Source organism: Homo sapiens, chromosome 4 (genome assembly GCF_000001405.40).
Source record: "Homo sapiens chromosome 4, GRCh38.p14 Primary Assembly".
NCBI lineage: Eukaryota > Metazoa > Chordata > Mammalia > Primates > Hominidae > Homo > Homo sapiens.
The window spans coordinates 121,992,695-122,004,199 of NC_000004.12; the positions used below are offsets into that span (position 1 = coordinate 121,992,695).

Genomic DNA, 11,505 nt, shown 5'->3' on the forward strand with positions numbered 1-11,505 from the left:
TAATGTGTGAGTAAGCGTTACCAACCCAGAAGTAGAAACAACTAGCCCTTGAATGTGCTTTTTTGGGTCATCTTTGAAATTTCTGTAGTAAGTGACTTATACCTACTTTCAAGAACTTAGCAAAATAGAGATAAACTAAAGGGAAATCTTTCTTGACGTACTGCCAAACAAATATATTCTAAAGCTATTTGTTATGGTGAGAATGCTGTCTATTGTAAGTAATAGGAAAACTAACTGAAACTGACGTAAGCTTACATAATCAGGGACTCCAAGGTAGACTGGATTCTGGGCCAGCTGGATCCAGGCTCAAAGTAATTAAGGTTCTTTCTTTTTCTCATCTCTTGACTCTGCCCATCCTTGAGAGATACAATACACTGATCCAATACTCCTCACATGCCCTGTCCTGGCATCAGGAGGAGGGGCTCACCTACCCTAGCCACCTAGACTAAGATGGAAGAGAATGTGAGTTTTGTCTCAAGAAGGGGAAAAGGATCCTGGGCAGGTACAATCAACAATAATTGTACATTACCTTACGAAAAAGGTACATTATCTTACAATTATTGCACAACGAACTAGTGTTGAAATTGTAGCTTATTAATGGCAAATGTTTCAGGGAAAGGCTAATGCTAGTCAAAAGTCAAAGAATACTAAATCCAACATGAATTTATTTCAAATTCACACATGTCTAAACCTCAAATGTAAATTGAAAAGGGAATGAAATTGAAGCTAGAGACATCATGTATATTACCAAATCAAAGTGACAGATTAGAGATAACAAAGCAAGATCTCTGAGTGAAACTATCTATTACACTCCATCAAAGTGGCAATTAAAAAGCCCAGATGTAAAGTCACATAACTTTGATTGGGTTCATACCAACATGTCTGACTGCTCTTCGGAAAAGAAAATTTAATTAGGGAGTTGACGTCATATATTAGAAAGCAACAGCAATGTTTCATTCTTTCTCTTAAACAGTTTGTATTAAAATCTTCTAGTCACCAGATACTGAACATTCTAAGTTACTGGCAAAATTCCAAAAAGGAGTTGTGGTGAAATGGAAGGCATGCTTCCAATTTCTAACTGCACCTTTTTTTTTTGAGATGGAGTCTCGCTTTGTCGCCCAGGCTGGAGTGCAGTGGTGCAATCTCGGCTCACTTTAACCTCCGCCTCCTGGGTTCAAGCGATTCTCCTGCTTCAGCCTCCTGAGTAGCTGTGATTACAGGCACACGCAGCCAGGCCCAGCTAATTTTTTAATGTATTTTTAGTAGAGATGGAGTTTCACCATGTTGGCCAGGCTGGTCTCGAACTCCTGACTTCAGGTGATCCACCCACCTCGGCCTCCTAAAATGTTGAGATTACAGGTGTGAGCCACCGCACCTGGCCTGCTTTTTATTTAATATAGTTTTAGGGAGTCACCTTTTTAAGAACCAGCTCTTCAATCTGCCTGAATTTGAGATTGCCTCATTTTCATTGGCACGAGGACAAAGACATTTGTTTCTTTTCCCAAAATAACAAGACATCCTTTATTTCAAATAGAGGTAACTAGAAAACATTGCAGTAATTTATAGATACCATGTAATTGTAAGACAACATGTTATACCAAAGGCTGAAGAAAAATTAGCTATTTAAGAAGTAGTTTATCTGAATCAAAATTATGGCATTGCTTTGCAAGGAGTTTTCTTGCATCTTATACAAACCAAACTCCTTTTTAAGTTATCACCTGATGAATTGTGTGCTGTTAGTCAGTGCTGATGGGAAGCCATGGGATGGGAGTGAAGGTCTTGACCAAATGAAGAGATATCTAAAAAAAAAAAAAAAAGAAAAAAACCCCAGCTCACTCAATATCATCTTTTTATATCTTATTAAGCAAGCAGCACCCATCATCACAATATACAATAATAATATGTTACTAAGAGAAAAAAGGTATCTGAAACTAAAATTGACTGTGGACAGTTTTTCCTTAGAAGGAAGAGGTGTCATAATTCTTTTCAGTGGGGAAATAAATCTTTATACTGCTCCTTTCTTCTCACAGAGACTATAAAGGAGAGGAGAGAGGAGTGAGACCTGGAGCAGGGGCCTGTCATTCACAGTCTTCCATCATTCAAGAGGCAGCTTGATACTTAGTTGGGAGATAGAAGTTAGAGCGGCAGTGTTCTCTCCAACCCCGTCAACAGTAGGAAGAATCGTAGTTATTGTTGTTTTAGATGTTGTGGCAATAAAGGAGGCAGGCAAAGCAAGAGCTAAGCAACTTGGTGGGAAGTGACAGCTGGTGAAATAGCCAAGGGACTCCAGAAGAAGAAAGTTAAGCATTGTATTTCAAGTTGTCTGCCCTAGAAGTCTGTGATGCAACCTTTTTGCCATTCCTCTGAATTATTAGTAAAAATTTGCTATACATTGTAATGCATTGTGTAATTTTTTTTGAGGGGCAGGGTATGGTTGAAATTCAAGGCAAGCAGCTTGAGTTCCACATAGAAGGTAGTATTAATCAGAGAAATGGAGATAAGACATTGGTGAGCAAGAGTTCTGTAGAGCAGGAATACAGTCACAAACATAGCCAAAGTCGACACAGAAATTCTGGGAAGGAAATAGGATGGGGACTTCAGTTGATATCTGGATTACTCATATATATTGAAAGGTCTACTGTGTACTAGGCTCTGGACTAGGTATTTACATGTACTCTCTTGTTCATTCCTCTCAACAATTCCATGTGGTTTTGTTACTTTTCCCCCTTGACATAAAGAAATTGAGGCATAGAGACATTAAGTAACTTGCCAAAGGTCATAAATGCTGGTGCTATTATAAATGGAGCACAGAGATCTGCATGACACAAAAGCCCACGTCTGTGTTAGTTTATACATACTCCCTGTCCAGGACCCTCATGGACTTTGCAGTACTGGTTGACATTCTTTGATCCACACTCTTTTCCCTTGGTATAAATAATTAAGTGCTGACTTTAAATGCTGCCCCAAATTTCCAGTTATGTTCAGTTTTAAAAGAAATCTGTACTATTAATAATAGTTATTGATTATCTAGTTAGTATGTATGAAAGAAAAAAGAGGCATAATACCCAATTCCTAACCTTTTGAGATGTATAATTAAGTTGGGCAGATATGGTAAGTATTAACATAGAAATAAAAAGCCTTGTAGACATTCCAAGCCAAAAACCAAAGGCTCAGCTAATGTGGGGTAATGTAAAGTATGGAGTGAGAAATATACTATGGGATTCCTAGGTCAATTTCTCAGAAGCTGTGTGGGTTTGAGCAAGTGACTTGACCTCTCAGTCATAGCTGCCTCACTGGCAATATGAGATGGGGAGATCCCCTGCCTTACCCATCATAGCATTGCTGTGAGTCTTAAGCGAGGTGACAAATGGAAAAATTGCTTTGTAAACTGTAAAGACTTATATGAACTTCAGTTATTTATTCTAGAATTCTCCTGTAAACATGACTGTCTTCCAGATATTTGTTAATGGCCCATCCTACCTCAATGGGAAAATACCATAAGGTAAGACTATAATGAGTATGTCTGAACAAAGCATCTGTTGTACCGAAGCACTACTTTCACCTATTGCTTATCTGCTCATGTTAAGAGAATGATTAGCAGGAGAGCAGGCAACAATTGCAGTGAGGAGTATTGGTGCTGACAAGGCAAAAAAGAACAACCATAGTCAACCAAAATCCTATCCTCTCCCATGCACTATCCCCTCCTCTGTTGGTTATGGAAACAGTCAGTTTTATACCCTGGCTTTTTCTCAAGTACACCTTTTTCTTCTCTGTATCAGCACTGCCTGACTTCAGGTCCTGGTTTCCTCTTGACTGGGCGTTGCAACAGCCTATCAATCCATTTCCCATGCCACCACCAAGGGTTTCTTTCTAAAATGCAAATGTAATCACATTGCTCTCCAAATTAAAAATCCTCAGACTATCTTTCCAATGCCTGAATAAAGTTTAAACTCACCAAAACCTTTCATAATCACTTTAGATAGGTAAAACTTGATTGTGAAAGGTTTTGGTGAGTTTGAATAAGGTATGATCAACTACACTGCCACAATTTTGGACTTGCCCTTCCCTGCCTTGTTCTACTGATGATTTGTCTTCCATCCTTCAAGACTCAGTCCTGGATCAACCTCCTCTTCACAGCCTTCTTCCCCATCTGCTCCCATCCCACACCTAGAAGTAGAGTTAGGGGTTCTCTTTGATCCATTAACACATAAGGAATGCTCCTCTTACAGTATCTTCCACAGTTGGTATCATTACTTATTTTTCTGTCCACTAGACTATAAAGTCTTGAGGATGGTGACTTACTCGAATTTGAATCTCTGGCACCTAGTATATAATAGCTCCTTAATAAATGTTGAAAGAATAGATGTATTAACACTGACTTAAAACTTCCCCATACTAGTTTTTAAAATGACTACATTAGCAATGTATTATAGTAGCACAGCTTGCTTGTAATTTTCTGTCTTATGTACTCAGCATGGAAATTTTTTCAATCAGAATAACTGAAGTTGTAATCATTTAAAAGAGGTATCACTAGCTAAATGGATTCTCGTGCTTAGAAAAATGTAAGAGTGCAGTGAAGAACAGAAAAATTCCATGAAGATATTTCTTTATCCTCATTTTCAGGTCAAATTCCCTTCTCTTGGAACTGGCAGTCAAGTTGTGACTTTATTAATTATGGCATTACTGGCTGTGGCTATCAGCATATTGACACTGTCAAAAATATATAACTGTGAAAACCAGTAGGAATAAATGGAGCATGAAAAATGGAATGTTTCAGTATGAGAAACTCTCTAAAGGAAGAATTCCAGCGCCCAGAGACCACTATCTGGTCAAAATAGTTCCCTGACTGTGGGTATAAGTAAAAAACATTTCATTTATAGTGGGCAGTGTAGAGACGTCAGTGTGGGACATAGCTATTTTAGCTGCTTTTTTTCTGTGTAATGGCAAATATCACCATGTTCTATAGAAAAAGTAATTGAAGTGCATTAATCAGAGACTCACTCTCTGGGAAACCACAATTTACACTAGACTAAGTGATAACATGGAGGGGCCATTACATCAAAATTAGTCTGACTTTCTGTATCAGTGGGACTTTTTAAAAAAGGAAATTGGTAACCTTTCCCTTTTTCTCCTATTTTTTTTTTAGAGGCTTCCTTAAGTAGCATATCTCCTTAAAATCCAAGAGTAAAATTTTGCTTTCTTGTAAAGGCTGGGATTATTGCTCTTTCTAAAGGACAGAGGAGACCTGCAGATGAAAGGTCAGGGCAGCATGATATCTTTTCCTTTTCATTGACTCTTTGAGTTCCCTAGCTTGTGCCCTCACCATCCTATGACTGGATCGTTGCAACTGCCTCAGGCACCTCCCATCAGCTCAGCCTGCTGCTCCAGTCTTTGCTGGGTCACCCAGCTCTGCACAGGTTAACCTTGCAGCACCTGGCACATGGTGCTCCAACTGTGAGCCTCGCACTTACAGCCTCAGAGTGTGTATGCAAGGGGGCGGGGTAAAAAAATGCTCCCCTTTTCCATCCCAGAGGTGGATCTGAGGCTCTTTCTACATGACCTGCAGATGGTGCCATTGGCATGAAGCCCCAGTTACCAACTGGATAGCACACCATTGTATTTTCTGTCCTCCCCTCTTGTTTCACGCTCTACCAAGTTCTCCAGTCTTGTTCATTGAGACCACTTCTCCAAATGAACCACCTGTATGCAAACCTTGTCCCAGACCTCTGCCTTTGGGGACACCAAAGCTAAGCTAGCCTTCAAGCTGGTCTGTAACAGACACACATTCTTCATTACTAAATGCAATGGGTAGAAGTATTTTTTTTATTTGTAATAATAAAGCTCAAATTTTCACTCCTATTTTGTAATGCGGGGTGGAAGGAAGTAATTATTTAGTTCATTCAAGTGACTCAGATTCTTTTGGTTAAAGGAGTCTCTTTAGATTATGATAGTGTCCATTCCTTCAGCATTTAAGCTTCACTATTCTGGATTCTCTCTCTCCCCTTCTCCTACACTTCTCTCTAGAGACCATGTAAATTCTCAGATACTTAATATCATTCTGGCATCTTTCTCTCCCTTCAGTGTTATTTGCTTTCTTGTTCACTAGGGCAATAATCCAGACTCTCTTTGTCTACTAATAATAAGAGGTTGTAGGGAAAAAATTACACAAAAAGACAAATATGGCTAAAAATAATACAAAGATATTATTATTATTCCTCTTCAAGTCTCTCCCCTTTTCCCAATCAGTCTTCTACTATTATTGACTAGTGCCAGCGTTACCATGTCAGTTATCTACTAAGGAACCGACAATGGCTTCTAATAACCTATGATAGCTAGCCTGCACAGAACTTCTCTGCTTCCAGTTGTACTTAAAGGCAGTGTCAATATCCTTTGAAGCGAAGGAGGTACATGGGGTACGAAAATTACAGTAATGTTAGGAGGGAAAAATGGGAACAGGGGAGGTGACCAGCAATTGCCATTAAAGTTTGCCTCTTCTTACTGTCCCTCATATGACCCCCTGCAACAAAAACAATGCTTGGTTCAGCAAGTAAGTTTGCTGTCAGGCACACAGATAAAATATATTTCTCAGGTTCCTTGCCGTTAGGTTGGGGCTGGCTGACTGCATTCTGGACAGTGGACAGCAGAAGCAATTTACACCATTGTTGGGGCTGGCCCATAAGAACCTCCCATTCACAATTCTCCGTTCAGTCATTTTCTTCTGTGGTAAACTTGGAAGCCATATGCAGAAGATGACCATGTCAAAACATGAAATGAGCCTAGGGCCCTGAATAACTGGGTAGAGCTGGGTGGAGATGAACCCCTTATTTTCTCCTGATGCTCACCCCTACCATATCGAATTGGGATGTGAATAGCTCTATTAATTATGACATTATTGTCTGTTGCTATTAGTGTATCTACAATGTCAAAAGTGTGTAACTGTGAAAACCAGCAGGAGTAAAAAGAGCATGGGAAATGGAATATTTCAGTATGTGAAACTCTCTAAAGAAAGAATTCCAGTGCCTTTAAATTATTAGTTAAAGTTTTAAAGATTTATTGTGTTAAGCTATTGAGATTTGGAGATTGTTTCAGCAGCTAGTTTTATTTACCCTAATATACCTCTCAGTATTGTGCATGGAAATCCTCTTGCCCCAAATGGATATTCTCGTCCCTTATTTTTTTTCTAATCAAAATCGCACCAACTTTCAAAGGCCCAGCTAAAGTCATATCTGACCCACAAACTTTTCAATGATCTCTACAGCTCATGGTGACCCCTCTCTTTTCCCAACTCTTATAGTACTTGCTGTATGTCCTAATCAGACCTTAAATGTGTGCGGCTTTGGTTTGCTACTTCACATTTTAAAATGTGTATGTGTTTACTTGTCCACTAGATTATAAATTCCCAACTGGAAAAGACTATTACTAATATTATTATTAAACTCCCAAAGCAATTATCACCCATCTGTGTAGATGGCACACCAGGAATGAAAAGTTAGAAGTCACAGAAGGCCTCTAAATGTCCTATAAATATCATAGCATGATTTTAGCATCAGCTAAATATAAGAATTCAAACCCAGTAATGCTGGCTCACAGGTACAACAGTAAATTCTCTGAGGATAAAATTAATGCCTATATATAAATGAGCAGTTCAGAAACACATTCAGTTTGCTTTTTTCCTCAAGGGCTAATTAATGTTAGCATTTACTCTTCCTCTCTTCTAAATGAATATTAAACAATATCCCAAATTGTGAAAGGCAGGCTTAGAATGTGAGATCTTTTTGAAACTCCCCATACCACTGATTTTCTCTCACCTGTATTTAACTCCTCATTTGGAATGAAAGTCAGCAGGTTTAGCACAATCTTTGCTGGACTTTATGAGTCTACTTTTTTGATAATAATAACAATTAAAATAATAATAATAAATAATTCTTTACATTCCTGAATCTCCTCTTTCTGACCCTAAGTGTTACAAACTAATATCCACCTATTTATTTTCTTTCTCTAACTGTGACGAAAGAACAAGTTGCCAATGTTTATATTTAGAGAATCTCTAGGTAACTATGATTTATTTGGCAATTAAGCAAAAGGGAATGGGAAGAACTGTTTTAAATTAAAGATGAAAAAAGGTCTTGAAAAAAGTTCATATTCTAATATTTTTATATAAGTTGCTGTTTGAAGATGCTGGAAATCACTTTAAACTGAAAAAAAAATTTGACTGTAACTTTTGTTGCAGTTGCTGTGTGCTAGCTTGAATAGTGCAGATACCGTTGAACTCTTCTATTCATTCAGGAAGGCTTAGTGCTAGCAATTTGCTTTTCTGTCCAGTCAATGCACTTTCGTTTTAAGCTGGAGAAAATACCTCTGTAATTGTAGAGCTCATGCCCTCTAGTCTTTAGTTTCAACTCCGTTGAAGCTACTTGTATAGAGATCAGTCTCTGCTGGTTTTAACAGTGGTTCTAACAATCATAGAGCATTCAGTCTCATCCTTTACAAGTTCCAAGAACAACATATTGACGATAAAGAGTAAATTTTCTAGTCTTTCAGGACTAACTTGAAATGATAAAGCAACATGGGACAAATATCTGAAAAGCAAAGAAACATTTTATGGACAGTCTATTATTCTTGCATTTTTATTTTTTCACAGCCATAATTTAACCTCTGGTTGACAGCAAGGAAGACCAAGAACTACGATTTAAATACACTGGTTCATATATTTTCCCCTACAAACTCTAATGTGAGAATTGCCTTTCAATATGTGCTTGAAGTTTATAAAAAATAGTCACCATTAAGGACTTTCAGCTGAGGTTTTCAAACTGTGTTTCTCAAAGTCTGAGGTTCTGTGTGGTGGGACCTCAGGGCTGCCAAAAGTAGGCTGAGTGTGGGGTCTTTTCTCCCCTTCCAACCCAGCGTTTTGCTTTTTATCTGTTTACATTTGGATTTCTATATAAAATTTACAATTACAAAATGGATTCTGTTAAAAAAATAAAAAATCCCTGCATGATGTAATCCATCTATGGAGATGTTTATCTTCCTCCAATTGGTGCAACTCATTTTTCTGTATTAAAATAACAAAAATGTCATGTTGTGGGAACTGTACAGAGGACATTTGCTGTTTTGTTGGCTGCCTGGGGTCTATACCCTTTCCTAGCAGCACCCTAATTTCCTTTTGGGGAACTACCTCTCTCCCACTGTGTGTGATGCTGGTGGATGGTAGATCTGGGGACCTCCCTTCAAAGGAGCTGAAGTGACTTGCTCTTTCCTCTCAAAGCCCCAGGACAACAAAGGTGTGAATCACTAACCTGTGCTCCATCAGTCAGATGCCCTCTCTTGGGTCTCTGAATCTGGAGTGAGTGACACAACAAAAGGAACACCTGGATTTTCGAGATTTTATCAGTGGTACCCTGCCCTGTCAGGAGACCATGCTAAGGTTCCTCCTTTCCCATCTTCCAGAGCTGCATTGGTGCCTGCCCATTTTCAAGTCTGAATCTCAAGCCTTTCAGCAATTAAGTGAGTCGCTACTAATCCTTCCACCTGCACATGCTTTTTTGCACTGTGTGTCTTCATTTTTCTTGCCTTGCTCTTCCTTTCTCCTTCGTGGACCAGACTGTAGACTGCAGACTGCCTTATGGCAGCCTCCCACAAGAGTTTAGCTACTCACTGTCCACTGTCCCTTGGGATGCATGCTTTTCTTCTTCTAAGGGCGTTGGTGGCTCACTTACTCTCCATCCCTTTCTACTTCAGTACCTGCACTCACTTCTCCCTGTTTTGGTTCTGCTGTCCTGTGTCAGTGCTGATATCCAATGCATTCCTGCCTTCCTGCACAGTAAGTTACCCCAGCGACGGTGTGAAACATGTAGGCTTCACTTGTCTTGAGAGTCAGGAACTCCCGCCAGAAAAATGCAGGCAGAGAAGGTTAGGAACAATAAGAATATCGGGAATGTAGTAGTAGTGTGTCAAGACCCAGACTGAGAGACAAGCAAGTATTAGAGAACGGGCAGGAAGGGGCACAAAATTAGATATACAGAAATTTAGGACAGGGTGCCACTATAATGAGAAAATTATTCTGAGGTAAGCTCTGGTTTGTACAGGGGCTTCTTTCACAGCAGCAACTGCTCTGGTGAGGGTGCTGATGGCCCCCACCCCCATCCAAATAAAACAATATGGACTTTTACCCAAATTCTATTTGGTCTTCACAAGACAAGCCACTGTCTTATTAACACAACAGTGACAATAAGACCTACTTGATATATTTTTGAATAATAATAGTAGCTGTCATTTATGGAGTGCTTACTGCATGTCAGGCTCTTTGGCAAAGTGCTTTGAATATAAGGAGAACTGAGTCTGAGGGAGGTTAAACAACTCATTCAAGATCACTCACCAACTAAATGGTAAAGTTGAGATTTGAACTTAGGTCTGCCAAGTCAGAGCACAAGTTCTTAATCACTCAGCATTTTGCCCCTAAATGCCATTCAATTGGACTCTGCTCTGGAATGTACAGACACCATGTCTTCCAATCCCAACCTTCTTACCTAGTTCAATAAACTGGTGCTGAATAAACAAGTACAAAGGAGGCTGTTAACTCTCACCTGGTGTAAGAATGGGCATAGTGGTCATTGTCCACAACCGTACGGCCTTCTTTCGGGAAATGCTCCTTCCCCCGTATACCCACAAGCAAATAGAAGCTGCTGTTCATTTACAGATCCCACTCACAGGCCTGCTCTGATTGGCCCGGGTGGTGATAGTAAACCATGTCCCACTTAGAGCTGATTGGAACAGGTTCGGGCCCAGCTGGGATGAACACAAGCGAGGCCAATCAGAGGAAGCCTCCCCTCTGATGTTTAAACTGTGATCAGAGGCTAGTCTCACTCTCCCTCTGGTGGTGAAACTTGGAGGTACTTGGCATAATAGCGGCTGGTGGTCATATTTCCATGAGGAAGTGCGTCTGAAAATATACAACTGACCTAAAGACAGAAACTGAGAGGTTGAAAGATGGAAACCAGAAGGAGAGATTAGGAGAAAGTGAGAGCGACAGGTTTTGAGACCTGGTATGAATTTCTTCTCAAGTCCCAGCTCCACACTTGCCCTCGCATCACCTTAACCAATCCTAGTTGGGTTTAGTCACTTCCAACCAAAATAGTTCTGACTGAGACCATGAATTTTTAAAAACTCGCATTAACACGTTAGGTCTATGTTTACCCTGAGAGAATGGAGAAAATACTTGGTCTTCTATCCGCACACGGCATGCACTTCACCTCTAAACTTAGACTGTGCAGCCCTAGAAGGGAGGGTAGTGGTGAGAATTGACAGAGCAGGGAAACCAATTTTAAGAATAATTTCTCAATGGCAGTCCTGTTTTCTTGTCTCCTTTGCCAACTTTCAATACTTATGTTGGAGGAGTCTTCCCGGACCATTAGGTAGCAAGAAATAAATTTGTTATGGTACCACATATTCCTTCAGAATAGTTGATAATAAAGTTTTTATCCTGAAGAACTCAGGAGCACGTAGACA

The 11,505-nt window shown here is 39.6% G+C and overlaps 1 annotated feature.

Annotated features, from left to right (window-relative positions):
- Positions 10,660-10,954: an enhancer, noted in NCBI's record as "tiled region #11420; K562 Activating DNase unmatched - State 12:CtcfO, and HepG2 Activating DNase matched - State 12:CtcfO". NCBI's record gives its function as "activates a minimal TATA promoter and a strong SV40 promoter by Sharpr-MPRA in K562 cells, with weaker activation in HepG2 cells {active_cell/tissue: HepG2 | K562}" and the evidence as "EXISTENCE:reporter gene assay evidence [ECO:0000049][PMID:27701403]".